At 50.3% G+C, this 22,530-nt stretch overlaps 1 protein-coding gene across 12 annotated transcripts in view, besides 3 other annotated features; it reads right to left on the minus strand.

The window, feature by feature from the left end:
- PLEKHA4 (pleckstrin homology domain containing A4) overlaps positions 330–22,530 on the minus strand; it is a 31,521-nt gene continuing 9,320 nt past the window's right edge. For 4 of the 12 annotated variants that reach the window (XM_011527158.4, NM_001438306.1, XM_011527159.2 and 1 more), the window contains 13 exons: positions 22,081–22,372; positions 20,655–20,729; positions 17,450–17,497; positions 17,240–17,320; positions 16,915–17,064; positions 15,461–15,559; positions 11,133–11,273; positions 8,750–8,849; positions 8,603–8,679; positions 4,382–4,543; positions 2,438–2,496; positions 1,250–1,362; positions 330–784 (listed from right to left, as the gene is read on the minus strand). In XM_011527158.4, coding sequence (XP_011525460.1) covers positions 522–784; positions 1,250–1,362; positions 2,438–2,496; positions 4,382–4,543; positions 8,603–8,679; positions 8,750–8,849; positions 11,133–11,273; positions 15,461–15,559; positions 16,915–17,064; positions 17,240–17,320; positions 17,450–17,497; positions 20,655–20,729; positions 22,081–22,372 — 1,660 coding nt within the window. In that variant the 3' untranslated portion in view covers positions 330–521. Of the gene's footprint in view, positions 785–1,249; positions 1,363–2,437; positions 2,497–4,381; positions 4,544–8,602; positions 8,680–8,749; positions 8,850–11,132; positions 11,274–15,460; positions 15,560–16,914; positions 17,065–17,239; positions 17,321–17,449; positions 17,498–20,654; positions 20,730–22,080; positions 22,373–22,434; positions 22,502–22,530 lie in introns of those variants that run through there. The other 8 variants (NM_001438308.1, NM_020904.3, XM_047439136.1 and 5 more) reach the window with 6 other exon arrangements.
- Positions 632–701: a silencer, noted in NCBI's record as "silent region_10904". NCBI's record gives its function as "represses an Ori minimal core promoter by ATAC-STARR-seq in GM12878 lymphoblastoid cells {active_cell/tissue: GM12878}" and the evidence as "EXISTENCE:reporter gene assay evidence [ECO:0000049][PMID:35858748]".
- Positions 2,091–2,291: a silencer, noted in NCBI's record as "peak3541 fragment used in MPRA reporter construct". NCBI's record gives its function as "represses an SCP1 promoter by STARR-seq MPRAs in K562 erythroleukemia cells {active_cell/tissue: K562}" and the evidence as "EXISTENCE:reporter gene assay evidence [ECO:0000049][PMID:32103011]".
- Positions 5,965–6,259: a silencer, noted in NCBI's record as "tiled region #3566; K562 Repressive non-DNase unmatched - State 5:Enh". NCBI's record gives its function as "represses a minimal TATA promoter and a strong SV40 promoter by Sharpr-MPRA in K562 cells {active_cell/tissue: K562}" and the evidence as "EXISTENCE:reporter gene assay evidence [ECO:0000049][PMID:27701403]".

Below are 22,530 nucleotides of genomic sequence, written 5' to 3' on the forward strand. Positions count from 1 at the left end.
CAGCCTCCCAGCCCCTCCTCCCTCAGACCCAGGAGTCAGGGTCCCAGCCCCTCCTCCCTCAGACCCGGGAGTCCAGCCTCCCAGTCCCTCCTCCCTCAGACCCAGGAGTCAGGGTCCCACCCCTTCCTCCCTCAGACCCGGGAATCCTGGCCCAGCCCCCTCCACTCTCAGACCGAGGGATCAGGTTCTCTATCCCTTCTTCCCAGAGACCTATAAGTCCAAGCCCCCTGTCCCTTCCTCTCTCAGGACCCAGGAGTCCACGACTCCAGCTCTGCCCCTCAGAGACACCAGTGCCACAACCCCAGACAGACAGAAAGAAAGCTATTGACTAAAAGTTCAAAGTTTTAATCCAAATTTAGACAGTGTTGAGAAAACCAAACTTTGGCCATAGAAACCATTCCCCTCCCGGGCCCGCAATGGGGACCAGACCACGCCCCCTGATGCCCTGAGTGGTCCCAGATCTCCGGCGGTACCTCCAGACCACGTCCTCGCGCTCCGATTGGCTGCCGCTTTTGGGCGGATTAGAAGCTGGATTGTAGCAGAGTGACTCGCAGAGGCCATGCCCCCTCGTCTTGTGGCAGGACCGGAGGGGCGATCCCGGCATCCCACGCGGGCCCCCAGGGGGTGGGACCTCCTCCACGCCCACTCCCTCGGCGAGAGAACCCCGTGGAACCCGAATTAGCCACCGGGGGAGATCTGGGGGGAGGGGTCTCCTGGCGCGTGGGGTCCGAAGGAGGCAGCGGCACACCGGGAAGAGGGTCTCCCTGGGAGTCCAAATTTCCACCTGGAGAGGATGAGTGGGACATGAGAATGGCAAACCTCAGCGCTAGGACCCCGGATTCCCAGCCCCTCCTCCCTCAGACCCAGGACTCCGGATTCCCAGCCCCTCCTCCATCAGACCCAGGAGTCCAGGCCCCCAGCCCCTCCTCCCTCAGACCCAGGAGTCCAGGCCCCCAGCCCCTCCTCCCTCAGATCCAGGAGTCTGGATACGCCAGTCCAGTCCTCTTTGAGACTCAGTTGTCGGCCCTCTCCCCGCCCCCTGACCTCTTCCTCCCCTCCTCCCAAGTGTCCCGGACCCCAGTCACCTCTTGCCTGAGACCTAAAACTCCCAAACCCTGCCCAACTCTTTACTCACCAAGATAAAAAATTCTCACCGGCCCCCAGACCCCTCCTCTCCAGGACCTGGGATTCCAGGTCTCCAGCTCTCTCCTCCCTAAAACCCAGAAGTCCAACATCCCCAGCCAGTCACCTGTCATCATTCTGTGCCACTGCGACGCCTCAGTAGCCAGGGCTTGGGAGAGGCTGAGAACCCGCTCCCGGTGACCTTCGGAAGTCGGCAAGTAAGGGGTGGTGTTCCTTGGACTAGAAAAAAAAAGAAGATTGGGGGTGGGGGTGTGTACATGGGGGAGAGGTGGGGGATGGTTAATTGGTACAAAAAGAAAAGGATGAATAAGACCTACTATTAGATAGCACAACAGAATGACTATAGTCAATAATAATTTAATTGTACATTTTTAAATAAATTAAAGGGTGTAACTAGATTGTTTATACATCAAAGGGTAAATCCTTGAAAGGGGATGGATACCCTATTCCCGATGATGTGCTTATTTCACATTGCCTGCCTGTATCAAAACATCTCAATTATCTCGTAAATATATGTATACCTAGTATGTACCAACAAAAATTAAAAATTAAAAAAAAAAAAAAAAAAGCAGGCCAGGTGCGACAGCTTATCCCTGTAATCCCAGCACCTTGGGAGGCCGAGGCGGGCGGATCACTTGAGGTCAGGAGTTCGAGACCACCCTGGCCAACATGGTGAAACCCAGTCTCTACCAAAAAATACAAAAAAGTTAGCCAGGCATGGTGGTGGGTGCCTGTAATTCCAGCTACTAGGGAGGCTGAGGAAGGAGAATCATTTGAACCCAGAAGGCGGAGGTTGCAGTGAACTGAGATCACGCCATTGCACTCCAGCCTGGGAGACAGAGCAAGACTCCGTCTCAAAAAAAAAAAAAAAGTAAAAAATAAAAATAAAAATAAAAAATAAACAGCTGGCACAGTGGGGACCCGGGTACCGCACGTGCCTTTCTGGGAGTTGTAGTTCCTAGCACGTGTCTCTAAAATACGTTAAACATGGCACCGCCCTCATACCGCCCACATGCATTACGGGATTTGTAGTCCACTCGCGCGTCACTATCACCCAATTTCCTTGATGCAGAAGTAGGATCTGCTATTGACCAAGGGAATTTGAGGAACTAAAGATATCACTACGGATCTAGGGCTTTCTGGTTTTGTTGCAGATGCCCCGGGAACTTAAGCATCTCTAGAAGGGTTGCGATTTGTACTTCCATATTCAGGAGACTTTAATAATAATGCTACTCCCCTTTGCTTTTGCAAATTTTTTTTTCCTGCTCCCTTGATACGCCCTCCAGTTCCTTACCTACTCCAGGACCCAGAGCTTCTGAGCCATTTCTGGGCTCCCGAGTGTCCTACGACAGGCTGGAAAGGAATTGGGGCATTAGAACTCCTCACCTGGAAGCCCCACGTTCTCATTTTGAGGGTGAAGTGAAGGGGGCTCCAAAAGAGAATGAAATTGCCCAAAAACACTGGCAATGTTTTGTTTTGTTTTTCCTATGCTTCTGTAGGCACTGAATTTTTAAAAATTAATTTATTTTATTTATTCATTTTTTAGAAAGGATGGAGTACAGTGGTGTGATCATAACTCACTGTAGTCTCGACTTCCCAGGCTTGGACTAATCCTGCTTCAGCCTCCTGAGTAAATAGAACTACAGGCTCGCACCACCATGCCTGGCTAATTATTTTTATTTTTATTTTTAGTAGAGACAGAGTCTTGCTATGTTGCCCAGGCTGGTCTCTTACTCCTGCCTCGGCCTCCCAAAGTACTGGTATTACAGGGGTGAGCCATAGCACCCAGTGACTGACAATGTTTAACTTTACCTGTGTTCCTATAAAGCAGCACATGAGTTCAGAAATCCCACCTCCACCACCACCACCTGTGACTTGTCTAAATCCTTTCTATAAAAGTCTAAGGGGCCGGGTCTGGTGGCTCACACCTGTAATCCCAGCACTTTGGGAGGCCGAGGTGAGCAGATCACTTGAGGTCAGGAGTTTAAGAACAGCCTGGTCAATATGGTGTAAACCCCGTCTCTACTAAAAATACAAAAAAAAAAAAATTAGCAGGGTGTGGTGGCATGGGCCTGTAATCCCAGCCACTTGGGAGGCTAAGGCAGGAGAATCGTTTGAACCTGGGAGACAGGGGTCGCAGTGAGTCGAGATTCCACCACTATACTCCATCATGGGCAACAAAGGGAGACTCTGTCTCAAAAAAAGAAAAAAAAAATCTAAGGGGAGGTTAGGTGCAGTAGCTCACACCTATATTCTTAGCACCTCCTTCCAAGGCAGGAGGATCACTTGAGCTCAGGAGCTCGACACCAGCCTGGCCAACGTGGTAAAAATCTGTCTCTACTAAAAATACAAAAATTGGCTGGATGTAGTGGCATATCCCTGTAGTCCTAGCTACTCGGGAGGCTGAGGCATGAAAATCACTTGAACCCAGGAGGTGGAGGTTGCAGTGAGTGGAGATCGCACCACTGCACTCTAGCCTGGGCGACCTTGTCCCTGAAAAAAAAAGAAAACATCTTTTTTTTTTTTTTTTTTGAGACAGAGTTTCACTCTTGTTGCTCAAGCTGGAGTGCAATGGCAAAATCTTAGCTCACCACAACCTCCACCTCCTGGGTTCAAGCGATTCTCCTGCCTCAGCCTCCCAAGGAGCTGGGATTACAGACATGTGCTACCATGCCCAGCTAATTTTCTATTTTTAGTAGAGACGGGGTTTCTCCATGTTGGTCAGGCTGGTCTTGAACTCCCGACCTCAGGTGATCCGCCCTCCTTGGCCTCCCAAATTGCTGGGATTACAGGCGTGAGCCACCATGCCCGGCCGAAAAAGGAAAACGTCTAAGGGGAAACCATCCTGAGATATCTGAGACACTCTGATGTTCAGATCTGGGACGTTCTTCCTATTGAAAGGGCATGAATAAAATCAATTTTCTTCCTGGCTTACATTTTCTTTTTTGCTTTCTTGCTATTGACAACACATAGCAACTGAGAAGAAAAACTAGGCTTCCAATCCAGATGTGTGACCCCCGCCCCCACCCACTGTCCTCCCCTCACTGCCACTCCTGTCCACCCACCACTATCCAGGCGAGGAAGCTGACTCTAGCACAAGTACAAACTGGGGTAAATTCGGAAATCCAGTTTGGAGGAAGGAGGTAGTGATTATCTCCATTTTACAGAAAGGGACTCAAAGTAGGCGAAGAGGACCTACTACCACCCCACCGCCCAGCCCCAGCCCTCCTCCCCTCACCCTTTGCTCCACGTCAGGCTGGCGTCTGGCTGGGGACAGTGTCCTTCCCAGGGTGAGAAGCCGGGGGGAGGTCGGGCGAGGGAAGGGCCGTCCACATTCCTGGTTTCTGCGCATCCGCTCCAGCTGCTCCTGGGCACTCATCCGGGGCCGGGCCACCGGGGCCTAGGGAGGCGAGAAACGTCCCAAGACCCAACCTTTAGGCCAGGCACAGTGGCTCGTGTAATCCCAGCACTTTTGGGAGGCTGAGTAGAGAGGATCACTTGAGGTCAGGAGTTGAAGACCAGCCTGGCCAACTTGGCGAAATACCATCTCTACTAAAAATACAAAAATTAGCTGGGCGTGGTGGCAGGCACCTGTAATCCTAATTACTCAGGAGGCTGAGGCAGGAGAATTGTTTGAACCCCAGAGGTGGAGGTTGCAGTGAGCCGAGATCACGCCACTGCACTCCAGCTGCACAACAGAGCAAGACTCTGTCTCAAATATATATATATATATATGTTGCTTAAACAAGGAGAGAGGGAGAAGGCCGGGTGCAGTGGTGGGTGACTGTAATCCCAGAGCTTTGGGAGGCTGAGGTGGGAGGATCACTTGCGGCCAAGAGTTTGAGACCAGCCTGGGCAACATAGCAAGACCCCATCTCTACAAAAAATAAACTTGTTAGATGTGGTGGTGGATGCCTGTCAGCTACTCAAGAGGCTGAGGCAGGGGGATCACTTAAGCCCAGGAGTTCAAGGCTTCAGGGAGCTATGATCGTGCCACTGCACCTCACTCTGGGTGACAGGGCAAGATCCCGTATCTAAAAGTAAAAAGTAAAGACAGAGAGAGCACTCATTGCTGAAGCTTCCAGTTAAACATCCCAGTGAGATAGCATGGATCTGTGCTTATTGTAGAACCAGTCCCTGCAGTTTCCTCTGCTTTGACCAATCCTGAGTCCTGTTTATATAAATGATGGCCAGTGGCCACTGTATATTACCCTATGTTGTTAATTTATTTTCTTTTTTTTTTTTTTTTTTTGAGACAGAGTCTCGCTTTGTCACCTAGGCTGGAGTGCAGTGGCGCAATCTCTGCTCACTGCAACCTCCGCCTCCTGGGTTCAAGCACTTCTCTGCCTCGGCCTCTCAAGTAGCTGGGATTGAGTAGGTGGCACCCGCCACCACGCCCAGCTAATTTTTTTGTATTTTTAGTACAGACAGGGTTTCACCATCTTGGCCAGGCTGGTCTTGAACTCCTGATCTCGTGATCCACCTGCCTCGGCCTCCCAAAGTGCTGGGATTACAGGCGTGAGCCACCGCGCCCAGCCAATGTTGTTAATTTCTTCACAGCAGGCCAGACCATTGGCCTAAAAGCTTGGTAGCAGCACACTCAGATTTCTACACATCCAATTGTTTTAAACATAGTCTTAATAAGCAGGTATTTTTAGCTATGCAGTCTGCCTGCTTTGTATACCCTGAAACTGTGCCCAACATCTGCTACCCATAGATAAGATGAGCCCCAAGCCCCTGCTGCTCTTTGGACCTCTCTGATCCAGAGAAACCTCCACATGCTGGTGGCTGGCATCACCCAGAAGTAAGCCCCTTCTCCAGTCCCTTTCTCTTGGGAGCTCCCTTGCCTTCCTCCCTTCCTGTGCAGTGGTCCTCACCCTCACACAGTAACCTCTGGAGGGTCTCACACTGGGTGTGACTCCCCCATAGACAAATCTGTCAGTGTCCACCAAATAAAGCTCCTGTGTGCTACTGCCATCTGGTGGTCATAGCTTTTTCTTTGCTAAACCCTGAAATCCCTGGAACTCACTAGACCACCCCTGTGCTCTGGACCTTGGCAGCCCCTGAAACCACCCGGTTGGGGTGAGGGAGGAGCATGTCCCAAGATAAGTGATGTTCCCAGCAGGCTCCAATCATCCATGCCCATGACACACCACTGAGAATCAAAAAGTGCCTCTCCTCTCTTCCTAGGAAAGGCTCGATTGCTTTTGTATCCATGATAACAAGTAAGCACAAGAAATGCCTTCTTTTTTTTAAATTATTTTATTTTATTTTATTTTATTTTTGAGATGGAGTTTCACTCTTATTGCCCAGGCTGGAGTGCAATGGCACGATCTTGGCTCACTGCAACCTCTGCCTCCCAGGTTCAAGCGATTCTCCTGCCTCAGCCTCCCGAGTAGCTGGGATTACAGGCATGTGCCACCACGCCTGGCTAATTTTTTTGTATTTTTAGTAGAGACGGGGTTACACTATGTTGGTCAGGCTGGTTTCGAACTCCTGACCTTGTGATCCGCCTACCTTGGCCTCCCAAAGTGCTGGGATTACAGGCGTTAGCCACCGCACGCGGTCTTTTTTCTTTTTTTTTTTTAAAGACATGGTTTCCCTCTGTTGCCCAGGATGGAGTGCAGTGGTGCAATCATGGCTCAGTGCAGGCTTGACCTCCTGGACTCAAGCAATCCTCACGTCTCAACCTCCCAAGCAGCTGGGACCACAGGTGGGCACCACCACGCACAGCTAACTTTTTATTTTTTATTTTTTTATTTTTTGAGATGGAGTCTTGCTCTGTCACCCAGGCTGGAGTGCAGTGGCGCAGTATCAGCTCACTGCAATCTCAGCCACCCAGGTTCAAGCGATTCTCCTGTCTCAGCCTCCTAAGTAGCTGGGATTACAGGTGCGTGCTGCTACACCCGGCTAATTTTTGTATTTTTAGTAGAGATGGGTTTTTGCCACGTTGGCCAGGGTGCTCTTGAACTCCTGACCTCAGGTGATCCACCCGCCTCGGCATCCCAAAGTGCTGGGATTACAGGTGTGAGCCACTGCACCTGGCCACAGCTAACTTTTTATTATTTTTTTGTAGAGATGGGTCTTGCTACGTTAGCCAGGCTGCTCTTGAACGCCTGGACTCAACTGATCCACCTACCTTGGCCTCTCAAAGTGTTGGGATTACAGGCATGAGCCAATACCACTGGCCAAGAAATGCCTTATTTATTTTATTATTATTATTATTATTATTATTATTATTATTATTATTATTATTATTTTCGAGACAGAGTCTCGCTCTGTTGCCCAGGCTGGAGTGCAACGGTGCAATCTTGGGTCTTTGCCACCTCTGCCTCCTGGGTTCAAGCGATTCTCCTGCCTCAGCCTCCCAAGTAGCTGGGATTACAGGCACCCGCCATCACGCTCGGATAATTTTTGTATTTTTGTAGAGACAGGGTTTTCACCATGTTGGTCAATCTGGTCTCAAACTCCTGACCTCAAGTGATCTGCCTGCCTCGGCCTCCCAAAGTGCTGGGATTACAGGTACGAGCCACGGTTCCCAGCCCCAAGAAGTGCTTTTAAATCTATTTGATCAAGTAATCCCAACAGGTACCCCAAAGACTTCTGAAAGCCAGCCAATCAGTGATGGAGCCAAGCTTCTGAAAATCAGCCAATCAGTGATGGTCACATGCTTCTGAGGGCTGGCCAATCAGTGATGGATCCGTACTTCTGAAAATCAGCCAATCATTGATAGCTCCATGCTTCTGAAAACCAGCCAATCAGCAACAGACACAGAGCACAGAGCTTCCACAGCTTAAAGTCAACCAATTCCTAAACATTCCTGCCACTAGAAGTCAACCAGTTTCTGAACTCCAGGGCCACATGAGATCAGCATTCTGCTCCACTCAGGGTGTCTTTTTTTTTTTTTTTTTTTTTTTTTTTGAGACAGATTTTTGCTCTTGTCGCACAAGCTGGAGTGCAATGGTGTGATCTCAGCTCACTGCAACCTCTGCCTCCCGAGTTCAAGCGATTCTCCTGCCTCAGCCTCCCGAGTGGCTGGGATTACAGGCGCCCACCACCACGCCTGGCTAATTTTTGTACTTTTAGTAGAGACGGGGTTTCACCATGTTAGCCAGGCTGGTCTGGAACTCCTGACAAAGTGCTGGGATTACAGGCGTGAGCCACCGCGCCTGGCCTCATTCATCTAGTTTTCATCTTGATGTCAGCTCTAGGTGGTAGGTTCTGCTATTAGCCCCATTTTAGAGAAGAAAAAATGAAGGCACAGAGAGGTTTAATAACTGACCCAAAGTCACACAGCTTAGAAGCGACAGAGACAAAAATCAATCTCAATGCTCTTAACAAGCAGTGCTCTCTCTGCTCTGAGTATGGCCTTAGAACGCTCTACTCCTAGCTGTTTCCCAGAAGTGTGGGGGTCCCTGATGGTCAGATGCAAGGATTACAGGATGGACCTACAGCTTACCTTGGTTCCTAGCTGTGGGGAAGGGAGGTGGCGACCCTCAGGGCTGGAAGCCCGGGAGACCCTCGGAGACCCAAGACCTGGAAAGACAGAACGGGACTTGGTGAGGACGGGAATTTCCGTAAAGTCCCACCCAACCAGGATGCTCACCTAAGTGAGGGCTGGCGAGGTCTTTGTCGCCTCCAGGAGGCCGCCCCCAGTCAGTCTCGGGGGACCTAGGGGAGCTCAGTTCCAAGGACTCTGGCAGGCTCTGCGGGGATTAGAAAAGGGGGATAATGATGATCATTATAATAATTATTATTATTACCATGTTGCAAGCATTTAGGCATTGGAATACAGTCTGAATAGGATTCAGACCATAAACCAGGCCGGGCGCAGTGGCTCACACCTGTAATCCCAGCGCTTTGGGAGGCCGAGGCAGGCAGACCACCTGAGGAGTTCCAGACCAGCTTAGTCCAACGTAGTGAAAACCCGTCTCTACTAAAAATACAAAAATTAGCTGGGCGTGGTGGCAGGCGCCTGTAATCCCAGCTACTTAGGAGGCTGAGGCAGAAGAATCGCTTGAACTCGGGAGTTGGAGGTTGCAGTGAGCCGAGATCGCACCACTGCACTCCAGCCTGGGCGGCAGAGCAAGACTCTGCCTCAAAAAAAAAAAAAAAAAAGACTATAAACCAGATCTGAGCATGGAGGCTTGTGCTTGTAATCTCAGCCCTTTGAGAGGCCAAGGTAGGAGGCTCACTTGAGGCCAGGAGCTAGACACCAGCTGGGCAACATAGCAAGACCCCTTCCCTTAAAAACTTTTTAAGGCTGGGCGCGGTGGCTCATGCCTGTAATCCCAGTACTTTGGGAGGCCGAGGCAGGCGGATCACAAGGTCAGGAGACCATCCTGGCTAAAACGGTGAAACCCCGTCTCTACTAAAAATACAAAAAAAAAATTAGCCGGGCGTGGTGGCAGGTGCCTGTAGTCCCAGCTACTCGGGAGGCTGAGGCAGGAGAATGGTGTGAACCCGGGAGGTAGAGCTTGCAGTGAGCCAAGATCGAGCCACTTGCACTCCAGCCTGAGCAACAGAGAGAGACTCCATCTCAAAAAACAAAGCAAAACAAAACAAACGTTTTAGGCTGGGCACAGTGGGTTCACGTCTGTAATCCCAGCATTTTAGGAGGCCGAGATGGGAGGATCACTTGAGACCAGGAGGTCAAGACCAGCCTAGGCAACATAGGGAGACCCCGTCTCTACAAAAAAGTTAAAGAATTCGCCGGGCATGGTGGCAGACACCTGTAGTCCTAGCTACTTGGGAAGCTGAGGTGAGAGAATCACTTAAGCCCCAGAGATGGAGGTTCCAGTGAGCTGTGATGGCACCACTGCACTCCAGCCTGGGTGACAGAGCAAGACCCTGTCTCCAAAAAAACAAAAAAACTGTAAACCAGGAGCCAGATGTCCTGGCTTCAAATCCCAACTGTGCCATTTATTAGCTGTGTGACCTTCGGCAAGCTGCTTTACCTCTCTGAGCCATATTTTATTTTATTTGAGACACAGTCTCGCTCTTTCAGCCAGGCTGGAGTACAGTGGTGCAATCTTGGTTCAGCTTACTGCAACCTCTGCCTCCCTGGTTCAAGCGATTCTCCTGCCTCAGTCTCCCAAGTAGCTGGGATTACAGGTGTGCACCACTGTGCCTGGCTCATTAACATTTTACTTTTTGATATTAGGATTGAGTCCATATATATGTGGCACTTAGAACAGTGCCTGGTGTCTAAGTGCATTATATATATAATCATATTAGGGCTGGGTGCGGTGCCTCACTCCTGTAATCCTGGCGTTTTGGAATACTGAGACTGGAGGATCATTTTAAGCCAGGAGTTTAAGACCAGACTTGGCAGCAAAGTGAGGTTCCATCTCCACAATAAACAAACAACCAAAAATTAGCCAGGCATGATGGCACGAGCCTGCGGTCCCAGCTACTCAGGAAGCTGAAGCAGGAGGATTGCTTGAGCCCAAGAATTCGAGGCTGCAGTGAGCCATGATCACACCACTGCAGTCCAGCCTGGGCGACAGAATGAGATCCCATCTTAAAAAAAAAATCCTGGTTGGGCGAGGTGGCTCACGCCTGTAATCCCAACACTTTGGGAGGCCGAGGCAGGCGGATTACTCAAGGCCAGGAGTACATGACCAGCCTGGCCAACAAGGTGAAACTCCGTTTCTACTAAAAATACAAAACTTAGCCAGGCTTGGTTGTGGGCACCTGTAATCACAGCTACTTCGGAGGCTGAGGCAGGAGAACCACTTGAACCCAGGAGGTGGAGGTTGCAGTGAGCCAAGATTGCACCACTGGACTCCAGCCTGGATGACAGAGTGAGACTACGTCTCAAAAAAACCCCCGAAAAAAAAGAAAACAAAGGCTTCCAGAGGTTAGGACACTTGTACCAGGTGGGTTAGCTGATCAAGGAAGAATTAAAGAGGTGGGTGGGGAATAGACTGAGTCAAGGACAGGTGGGACATGAAGCTTGGGGTGGGGAGGAATTATGTGCGTCTTACCTCCCTCTCTGAGGACTCCTCGCCCTGGAGCACGGGAGATGGGGAGTCAGGCTCAGTGTGTGGGGGCGGTTTCTGGGGGCCACCCAGACCTGCCAGCGTGTCTTCCACCATCCACAGCTGCTGCTGAGCAGACACTCTGTCCTGCAGGGAGGAAAGGAATTTGTTACTTAAAGGTGGGAAAACGCAGGAGGGTTTCAGCTAATAGGCCCCTGCAAAGGTCTGAAATCAGCTGGGCTATATTTATGGAGTTGGGATTTATTTTTTTTCCCATGTGGTTATCCAGTTGAATTGAAAAAAACTGTCTTGGCTGGGCGCGGTGGCTCACGCCTGTAATCCCAGCACTTTGGGAGGCCGAGGCGGGCGGATCACGAGGTCAGGAGATCGAGACCATCCCGGCTAAAACGGTGAAACCCCGTCTCTACTAAAAATACAAAAAATTAGCCGGGCGTAGTGGCGGGCACCTGTAGTCCCAGCTACTTGGGAGGCTGAGGCAGGAGAATGGCGTGAACCCGGGAGGCGGAGCTTGCAGTGAGCCGAGATCCCGCCACTGCACTCCAGCCTGGGCGACAGAGCGAGACTCCGTCTCAAAAAAAAAAAAAAAACTGTCTTTTGGCCAGGCGTGGTGGCTCACACCTGTAATCCCAGCATTTTGGGAAGCCGAGGCGGGTGGATCACCAGAGGTCAGAAGTTCAAGACCAGCCTGGCCAACATGGTGAACCCTCGTGTCTACTAAAAATACAAAAAAAAATTAGCCGGGGGTGGTGGTGCATGCCTGTGATCCCAGCCACTCGGGAGGCTGAGGCAGGAGAATTGCTTGAACCCAGGAGGTGGAGGTTGCAGTGAGCTGAGATCGTGCCACTGCACTCCAGCCTGTGCAACAGAGCGAGACACTGTCTCAAAAAAAAAAAAAAGAAAAAGAAAAAACTGTCTTTTCTTTCTATGTTGTTTTACTGTGTTACATCTATTATAAATAGGTGACCATACGAATATGAGAGTCTGTTCTTTTTGTTTGTTTTTGGAGACAGTCCCTCCCTCTGTCACCCAGGCTGGCGTGCAATGGCTTGATCATAGCTCACTGCATCCTCGAACTCTTGGGCTTAAGCGATCCTTCCACCTCAGCCTCCTGAGTAACTGGGACCACAGGCGTGCACAACCAGGCCCAGCTAATTTTTTCACTTTTATTTTTAGTAGAGACAGAGTTTCACCATGTTGCCCAGGCTAGCCTCAAACTCCTGGGCTCAGGTGATCCACCTGCCTCATCCTCCTAAAGTGCTGGGATTACAGGTGTGAGCCACTGCAGCTGGCATGGGTCTGTTCTTGCCAAGTCTGGATTGTAGATCTAGTGGGAGCAGCTTAGAGTGAGAAGATGCATTTAAAACTAGGCATCAATGGTTTTTTGTTTTTTGGGGTTGTTGTTGTTGTTTTTTAAGATGGAGTCTCTCCCTATCACCCAGGCTGGAGTGCAGTGTCACGATCTCGGCTCACTGCAACCTCCGCCTCCCGGGTTCAAGCGATTCTCCTGCCTCAGCCTCCTGAGTAGCTGGGACTACAGGCGTGCACCAGCACACCCAGCAAATTTTTCTATTTTTAGTAGAGACAGGGTTTCACCATGTTCGTCAGATTGGTCTCCAACTCCTGACCTCAAGTGATCCACCTGCCTTGGCCTCCCAAAGTGCTGGGACTACAGGCGTGAGCCAACACGCCCGGCCGTGTCAATGTTTTTAAAGATACATGATTTAGAACTTGATGGCTAGATTTAGAGTGAAAAAGCAGGTCTGAGGCTAAGCAATGAGGTTTATATTTTAGGAGCAGAGCTTGCACTAAAGGAATGGGTTCAGAACTGGAACTCCAGAGGATAAATTTAACAGCAAAAGTCAGGATGCAGGATGCAAGAGATGAACTTGCAAGATGGAAAAAAGGCTGAGGGTTGGAGTTTTGCTGGTGAGAGCATGGCTTCAACAAGAGGAGAGATTTAGAACCAGGGGAGAGAGCAGCTCTGGATCTGAAGTAGGTATTAAAACGAAAGGCATTGGCCGGGCGCAGTAGCTCATGCCTATAATCCCAGCACTTTGGGAGGCCGAGGCAGGCGGATCAGAAGGTCAGGAGTTCAAGACCACCCTAATCAACATGGTGAAACCCCGTCTCTACTAAAAATACAAAAATTAGCCAGGCGTGGTGGCACACGCCTGTAGTCCCAGCTAGAGGCTGAGGCAGGAGAATCACTTGAACCCGGGAGGCAGAGGTTGCAGTGAGCCGAGATCACACCACTGCACTCCAGCCTGGGCAACAGAGCAAGACTCCATCTCATAAATAAATAAGAGGGCGGCCAGGCGCCGTGACTCACGCCTGTAATCCCAGCACTTTGGGAGGCCGAGGCGGGTGGATCATGAGGTCAAGAGATCTAGACCATCCTGGCCAACATGGTGAAACCCCATCTCTACTAAAAATACAAAAATTAGCTGGGCATGGTGGCACACACCTGTAGTCTCAGCTACTGGGGAAGCTGCGGCAGGAGAATTGCTTGAGCCTGGGAGGTGGAGGTTGCAGTGAGTCGAGATTGTGCCACTGCACTCCAGCCTGGCGACAGAGCAAGACTATGTCTCACACACACAAAAAAAGAAAATAAAAAATAGAAGGGCTGTGTGCGGTGGCTCACGCCTGTAATCTCAGCACTTTGGGAAGCTGAGGCGGGTGGATCACCTGAGGTCAGGAGTTCAAGACCAGCCGGACCAACATGGAGAAACCCCGTCTCTCATAAAACTACAAAATTAGCCAGACATGGTGGTGCATGCCTGTAATCCCAGCTACTCGGGAGGCTGAGGCAGGAGAATTGCTTGAACCTGGGAGGCGGATGTTGCGGTGAACCGAGATTGCACCATTGCACTCCGGTCTGGGCAACAGAACGAGACTCTATCTCAAAAAATATAATAAAATAAATAAAATAAAAATAAAAGAGTAGGCCAGGCACAGTGGCTCACACCGGTAATCCCAGAACTTTGGGAGGCCGAGGTGGGTGGATCACCTGAGGTCAGGAGTTCGAGACCAGCCTGACCAACATGGTGAAACCCCCCTCTCTACCGAAAATAGAAAAATTAACCGGGCATGGTGGTGGTCATCTGTAATCCCAGGTACTTGGGAGGCTGAGGGAGGAGAATCGTTTGAACCTGGGAGGCGGAGGTTGCAGTGAGCCAAGATTGTGCTACTGCACTCCAGCCTGGGCAATAAAGCGAGACTGTCTCAAAAATAAAAATAAAAAATAAAAGAGTATAATGGATTGTTTGTAACACAAAAGATAAATGCTTGAGGGGATGGACACCCCATTTTCCATGATGGGATTATTATACATTGCATGCCTGTACCAAAATATCTTATGCACTTCATAAATATATTCATCTGCTATGTACCCACAATACATTTTTTAAAAAGAATGTTGTAGGCCGGGCGCAGTGGCTCACGCCTGTAATCCCAGCACTTTGGGAGGCCGAGGCAGGCAGATCACCTGAGGTCGGGAATTCAAGACCAGCCTGACCAACATAGAGAAACCCCGTCTCTACTAAAAATACAAAATTAGCTGGGCGTGGTGGCGGGCACCTGTAATCCCAGTTACTCAGGAGGCTGAGGTGGGTGAATCGCTTGAGCCCGGGAGGCAGAGGTTGTGGTGAGCTGAGATCGTGCCATTGCACTCCAGCCCGGGCAACAAGAGTAAAACTCTGTCCCCCTCCCCCTCAAAAAAAAATGTTGTAAAATTATAGCCAACTTTACAGCAGAAATTAGGTCTGGCGCAGTGGCTCATGCTTGCAATCCCAGCACTTTGGGAGGCCGTGGCAGGCAGATCACTTGAGGTCAGGAGTTCAAGACCAGCCTGACCAACATGTCTCTACTAAAAATATAAAAAGTAGCTGGGCATGGTGGCATGTGCCTGAAATCCTAGCTACTTGGGAGGCTGAGGTGGGAGAATCACTTGAACCTGGAAGGCAGAGGTTGCAGTGCGCCAAGATTGCGCTACTGCACTCCAGCCTGGGCGACAGAGTGAGACTGTCTTAAAAACAAACAAATAAACAACTTTACAGCAGAAATTAGATAACAGCTCGAGAAAACGGCATTCAAAATTGAAGCTTAATTAAAATTTTAATGAGAGAATTTAAAAAAAAACCCCAAAGGGCATGGTCTTAACTAAAATAAGGGGCTTAGATTGAAAGGACAGAAAGGAGGCTAAGGGTCAACTGGGCGGGGCCTCGATTCTGTGGGCGAAGATTAAATGCTAAAAGGATTTCCAGGCAGAACTTGGAGTTGGGGGTGGGTCTTGGGGTCTCCAAGCAGCGATTTACCTGGGGAGAACCAAGGTGCAGCAGGTACTCCAGCGTCTCTCTTAAGGTGCCCAGCTCCTGCTCCAGGCCACTGTACGTGTCCCAAACCCTCTCTCGCTCCTCAGGTTGCATAAAGGGGGAGACATAGGTTAGGTCCCTCTCCCACCAGATCCTTCCCCACCCCATCATTTGTCAGCTAAGGAGGAGATAAGGGAGTTTGGTCCCTGGAGCCCTGCAGGCGTATGGACTACAATTCCCATGGGCCTCTTTGCTTGGACTACTGGGAACCCCAAAGTCTGTATGGAACCTGCAATTCCAGTACACTGCTAGTGTAGACAAATAACAGCATTCCCTGAATCCCCAGGATTACTTCTGCTCTCTCCTAGGTAGCAGAGTCTACAGATCTAATGAATTTCATTAGACAGTTAAAAGACCACAGCACCCAGCCAGACACGGTGGTTCAGGCCTTTAATCCCAGCTATTTGGGAGGCCAAGGCGGGCGGATCACTTGAGGTCAGGAGTTCGAGACCACCCTGGCCAACATGGTGAAACCCCGTCCCTACTAAAAATACAAAAATTAGCCAGGAATGGTGGCGAGGGCCTGTAATCCCAGGTATTCGGGAGGCTGAGGCAGGAGGATCACTTGAACCAGGGAGACAGAAGTTGCAGTGAGCCTGGATCCAGGCGCTGCACTCCAGCCTGAGCAACAGAGCAAGAATCCGTCTCAAAAAAAATAACCACAGCACCCACTCACCCTGGGGCAGCAGAAACTTCCTTGCCAATACCAACAATAACAATGATAATATCAGCTAACACTTATTGGGCACTGATCATGTGCTAGGCATTGTTCTCAACTCTCATTTAATTCCTATGAGGTAGTTACTATTATTGTCTCCATTTTACAGATAATAATTATAGCTGACACTTAAGTATTGCTTTACCAAGTACCAAGTACCTTAAGTGTTAAATATTCATTCATTCATTCATTCATTCATTCACTCATTTTCACGTATCACATATAATAATTCTCAGAGTTACTTAAGGCCGGGCGCAGTGGCTCATGCCTGTAATCCCAGCACTTTGGGAGGCTGAGGCAGGCTGATCACCTGAGGTTAGGAGTTCGAGACCAGCCTGGCCAACATGGCAAAACCCCATCTCTACTAAAAATACAAAAATTAGCCAGGTGTGGTGGCACATGCCTGTAATCCCAGTTACTCAGGAGGCTGAGGTTGCAGTGAGCTGAGATGGCACCACTGTACTCCAGCCTGGGCGACAGAGCAAGACTCTGTCCCCCCCAAAAAAAAAAAAATTAGAGTGGTTACAAGACAATGAGGAGAGAGAAAAAATAATAAAATTTGGAGTGTAGACTTCTGAAGAACGATCTTCCTATGAGCCCTCTGGGGCAGGTCCCCTTCGTAACGACTTGCATAGTCCTGGGGCCTCCTAGGAGGGCAGGCCCCTTCCCAGGTGCTCACCTGAGTCAAGTGACAGAGGGTGGCCCTCACACTGACCAGCCGGTCCTGCAAGAGGCGCTGGCGACCCCAGGCCCTCCCGGGAGCCCCAGCCTCCCTGGTGGCTTGGCCCAGCTGTTGCCGGGTCAACTCCAGAGCTGCTTCTAGTTGCTCCTGCACCAAGACAGAAGGTGGTTAGACTTCAGAAGCCATGCCTAGCCCCAAGAAGAAAGAAAAGATGTCCTTTCACGTCCTGGACGTCCAGTCAGCATCCTGACTTCCGCATTCAGGAAGGGCTCAGGGCAGGCAGAGAGGCCAGGCGCCCTGTCCTTGGCCCAGGGCCCCGCACCTTCTCCTCCTGCTTCTGGTCTATCTCCTCCTGCAGCCTCCGCAGAAGCCGGTCCTGCCCGCACAACTTGGTCAGCAGCGTCTGGAGAAAGGAGAGCGGGAGCTACTGATGGTCCAGATCTGGCTCTTCCCCTGCCGCTCCTCCCATCATCTAGAACATTCTCTCCCCAACTCTGGGAACTCAGCAAGGATTAGATCAGTGACAACTTACATCTGTCTCCAAGCTTTGGTGGAAAGTTGACTCCAGGGGAGGACCCGGCTGAAGAGAAGGAAAAAAGTCAGGGGTCAAAGGGGACAGGCTGGTCATTCTTGTAACTCAGTGCTGAGCCACGCCCTGTCTCTACTGATAGGTACTGCACTATTTATTTATTTATTTATTTAGAGATAGGGTCTTGCTCTGTCACCCAAGCTGGTGTGCAGTCGTGCGATCATGGTTCGCTGCAGGCTCAACCTCCTGGGCTCAAGCAATCCTCCCACTTCAGTCTCCTGAGTAGCTGGGACCACAGGCGCACACATCATGCCCGGCTAATTTTTGTAGTTTTAAAATTTTTGTTGCTGTTGGTTTTGGTAGCGATGGGGTTTTGCCATGTTGCCCAGGCTGATCTCAAACTCCTGGGCTCAAGCAATCCTCCTGCCTCGGCCTCCCAAAGTGCTGGGATTATAGGCATGCACCATCATATCATGCCTGGCCTTTTTTTTTTTTTTTTTTTTTTTTTTTGAGTCAAGGTCTGTCACCCAGGCTGGGGTGCAGTGGCATGATCATGGCTCACTGCAGCCTTGAACTCTTAGGCTCAAAGGATCCTCCCACCTCAGCCTCCCAAGTAGGTGGGACAACAGATGCCAGCCACCGGTGCCAGCTAAGGTTGTTTGTTTGTTTGTTTTCAGGGCTGGGGTCTCACTATGTCACCCAGACCAGTCTTGAACTCCTGATCTCAAATGATCCTCCTGCCTTGGCCTCCTGAAGTCCTGGGATTACAGGCATGAACCACCAAGCCTAGCGACCCCTCTCCTTATCAGCTTCCTTCTAAGCATTAGCAAATTTCAGTAGACCAACTTCCACATTCTTGGCTTCAGAAAGATCAATAATGGGCTCTTGATCAAGCAGCCATGGCAAATATTATAATTAATGGAGAAATTTAGACATTTTATTTATGACTAAGAATAAAACAAAGTGCAGGGCACAGTGACTCACTCCTGTAATCCCAAAGCTTTGGGAGGCCAAAGAGGGAAGATCACTTGAGCCCAGGAGTTAAAGACCAGTCTGGGCAACATAGGGAGACCTTGTGTCTGCAAAAAAAATAAAAATAAAAAAATAGGGCCGGGTGCGGTGGCTCATGCCTGTAATCCCAACACTTTGGGAGGCCGAGGCGGGTGGATCACCTGAGGTCAGGAGTTCGAGACCAGCCTGACCAACATGGTGATACCCTGTCTCTACTAAAAATACAAAACTTAGCCAGGCGTAGTGACGGGCGCCTGTAATCCCAGCTACTTGGGAGGCTGAGGAAGAAGAATCACTTGAACCCGGGAGGCAGAGGTTGCAGCGAGCCGAGATCGTGCCATTGCACTCCAGCCCGGGTGACAGAGTGAGATTTCGTCTCAAATAAATAAATAAATAAATAAATAAATAAATAAAATAAGCTGAGCATGGTGGTACATGCCTGTAGTCTCAGCTACTAGGGAGGCTGAGGTGGGAGTATCGCTTGGGCCCAGGAGACTGAGGCTGCAGTGAGCCATGATTGCACCACTGCACTCCAGCCTGGGTGACAGAGTGAGACTCTGTCTCAAGAAAATAAATAATTTTTTTTAATTTAAAAAAAAACAAAAAACAGCCTGGGTAACATGGCAAAACCCTGTCTCTACAAAAAGTAGAAAAAGTTAGCTAGGTGGCCAGGCGCAGTGGCTCATGCCTGTAATCCCAGCATTTTGGGAGGCCGAGGCAGGCAGATCACCTGAGGTCGGGAGTTCAAGACCAGCCTGACCAACATGGAGAAACCCTGTCTTTACTAAAAATACAAAATTAGCAGGGCGTGGTGGTGGGTGCCTGTAATCCCAGCTACTCGGGCAGCTGAGGCAGGAGAATCGCTTGAACCCAGGAGGGGAGGTTGCGGTGAGCCGAGATCACGCCATTGCACTCCAGCCTGGGCAACAAGAGTGAAACTCCTTCTCAAAAAAAAAAAAGAAAAAGGAAGGAAAGAAGGAAAGAAAGAAAGAGAGAGAAAAAGGAAAGGAAAGGAAAGAACGAGGAGGGGAGGGGAAGGGGAAGGGGAAGGGGGAAAGAAAGAAAGAAAGGAAGGAAGGCCAGTCGCGGTGGCTCACGCCTGTAATCCCAGCACTTTGGGAGGCCGAGGCGGGCAGATCACAAGGTCAGGAGATCGAGACCATCCTGGCTAACACAGTGAAACCCCATCTCTACTAAAAATACAAAAAAGTTGGGCCAGGCGCAGTGGCTTACGCCTGTAATCCCAGCACTTTGGGAGGCCGAGGCGGGAGGATCACGAGGTTAGGAGTTCGAGACCAGCCTGACCAACATGGTGAAACCCCGTCTCTACTAAAAATACAAAAATTATCCAGGCATGGTGGCACGTGCCTGTAATCCCAGCTATTCAGGAGGTTGAGGCAGGAGAATTGCTTGAACCAGGGAGGCGAAGGTTGCAGTGAACCGAGATCGCGCCACTGCAATCCAGCCTGGGCGACAGAGCGAGACTCTGTCTCAAGAAAAAAACAAAGAAAAAAATACAAAAAAATTAGCCGGGCGTGGTGGCGGGCGCCTGTAGTCCCAGCTATTCAGGAGGCTGAGGCAGGAGAATGGCATGAACCCGGGAGGCAGAGCTTGCAGTGAGCCGAGATCGCACCACTGCACTCCAGCCTGGGCGACAGAGAGAGACCCCGTCTCAAAAAAAAAAAAAAAAAAGAAAGAAAGAAAGAAAAGAAAAGAAAAAGAAAGAGAAAGAAAGAAAGAAAGAGGTTTTTGCGGATTTAAGTTAAGTTACGACGATGTCATGGGGTGTCCTAATAGGAGGAGATGGACAGCAACAAAAACACAAAGGAAGATCATCATGGGATGATGGAGGCAAAGATGTGGCCATAAAAAAAACCACAGAACCTCAGGAATTGCTGGCAACCACCAGAAGCTAAGAGAGAGTCAATAAAAGCTCCTCCTTAGAACCTTCAGTGGAAGTATAGCCCTGCCAATCCCTTGACTCCAGGCCTCTGGCCTCCAGAACCGCAAGATAATCCATTTCTGTTGTTTTCGGCCATGCGCTTTGTTACAGCCACCACATGAATCTAATACCTACCCAGGGTCTTTGAAATATCTACAGTTCTCTAGGCACCCTAGGCCAAGAGATGACATTCCTCATAGAGAAGAAAGGAAGGGAGGGGGCTCCGGTAGATTTAGGGTACTCCAGGATACCTACCAATAAAACCATGGAGGCCCGGGTCCCAGGGGGCCGCGGGGGGAGCTGGAGATAAGTGGGGGAGCCAGAGTGTGCCTGGGAGGAACGTTGAAATGGAGATGTTTAGAAACTGGCATGTCTGGGAGACTTTTCATTTTGTTCTGTACTAAGAAAAATTCTTCTGCCTTGGGATCCTGTTGATCTATGACCTTACCCCCAACCCTGTGCTCTCTGAAACATGTGCTGTGTCCACTCAGGGTTAAATGGATTAAGGGCAGTGCAAGATGTGCTTTGTTAAACAGATGCTTGAAGGCAGCATGCTCGTTAAGAGTCATCACCACTCCCTAATCTCAAGTACCCAGGGACACAAACACTGCGGAAGGCCGCAGGGTCCTCTGCCTAGGAAAACCAGAGACCTTTGTTCACTTGTTTATCTGCTGACCTTCCCTCCACTATTGTCCTATGACCCTGCCAAATCCCCCTCTGCGAGAAACACCCAAGAATGATCAATAAAAAAATAATAATAATAATTAAAAAAAAAAAGAAACTGGCATGTCTTAGTGACAAATAGTAGAGTGGGCATGTCCATAATTGAAGTGCTTTAGGAGATATTTTGAGGTTCAGAACTGGGCCCTCTCAACTTCCTCAACTACCTGCTCTCCAGCTGTGTGCCACTGTGGGGACACAGAGGGTGATAATAAATGCACCAGCCTGGCAAAACAGCCCCACAAGATGATGGAATTTGCTACTCTCATTCTCAGACTTGCAGTCAGCTGTGGATATTCTGAGCTACCGTCCCATGATGCTCAGACAAAACAGCAGGCAACCAACTTGCAAGGTGAACTGGGGACACAAGGGAGATGCAAACCTCTCACCGCACTGTCTTGGCACAGAGTATCCAGGACTACAATCCCCATGATGCTTAAAGAGCAATGGCTGGGCCAGGCGCGGTGGCTCACGCCTGTAATCCCAGCACTTTGGGAGGCTGAGATGGGCAGATCACCTGTCAGCTGGTCAGGAGTTCGAGACCAGCTTGGTCAACATGGTGAAACCTCATCTCTACCAAAAATATAAAAATCAGCCGGACGTGGTGGCAGGTGCCTGTAATCCTAGCTACTCGGGAGGCTGAGGCAGGAGAATCGCTTGAACCCGGGAGACAGAGGTTGTAGTGAGCCGAGATCGTGCCACTGCCCTCTAACCTTGGCGACAGAGCAAGACCTCAGTCTCAAAAAAAAAAAAAAAAAGCAATGGCCGAAGACCAGCCTAGAAAGACAGCCCAGACACCTGAGAGGAGCTGGACACCTGATAGGTTCAAGCTCTCTCTCACCTGAGCCCAGCTGAGATCATTATGGACTACAATACCCATGACACCCAGGGAGCAATGGCCTTGAGAATACGGAAAGACAGCCCTGAGGCCTGATGGGAAACGTAGTCCCCTCCTTCTCACCTCTCTGCTCACCTGTGTTCTGGGCTCCTGACTCCAGTGCTGGGGACTCCTGGGGGGCTTTCCTCCCCCAGCCTCAGAGGGAGGTCCTCGGCGGGGAGTAGGGGGTCGGGAGAGGGTCTGGCGTTGGGGGCCCCAATCCAGAGGAGGTCGGACATCAATGCGACTCAACGGGGTGTGAGGTCGGGCAGGGGGTGCTGTGTCTCCTGAGGGGGCAGGGGGTCGCCGCGCAGGGGCAGAACGGGGACGGGGGAGGCTCAGAGGCGAGGGAGGGCGAGAGAGGGGGGTGAACAGGCTGTGGGAAGGAGAGAATCGGGGAACTGAGTCAACTAGAGCCCTCTCCATCCACCTCCTTACCCATCAAGTCAGCCTCAAGGACATGTCTCACTTCACTGTGTCTTACTGTCCCACTGGGTTAGAATCCTCCTCTACTGTCCAAATCCTCAGTAATGT

This window comes from Homo sapiens, chromosome 19, assembly GCF_000001405.40.
Source record: "Homo sapiens chromosome 19, GRCh38.p14 Primary Assembly".
NCBI lineage: Eukaryota > Metazoa > Chordata > Mammalia > Primates > Hominidae > Homo > Homo sapiens.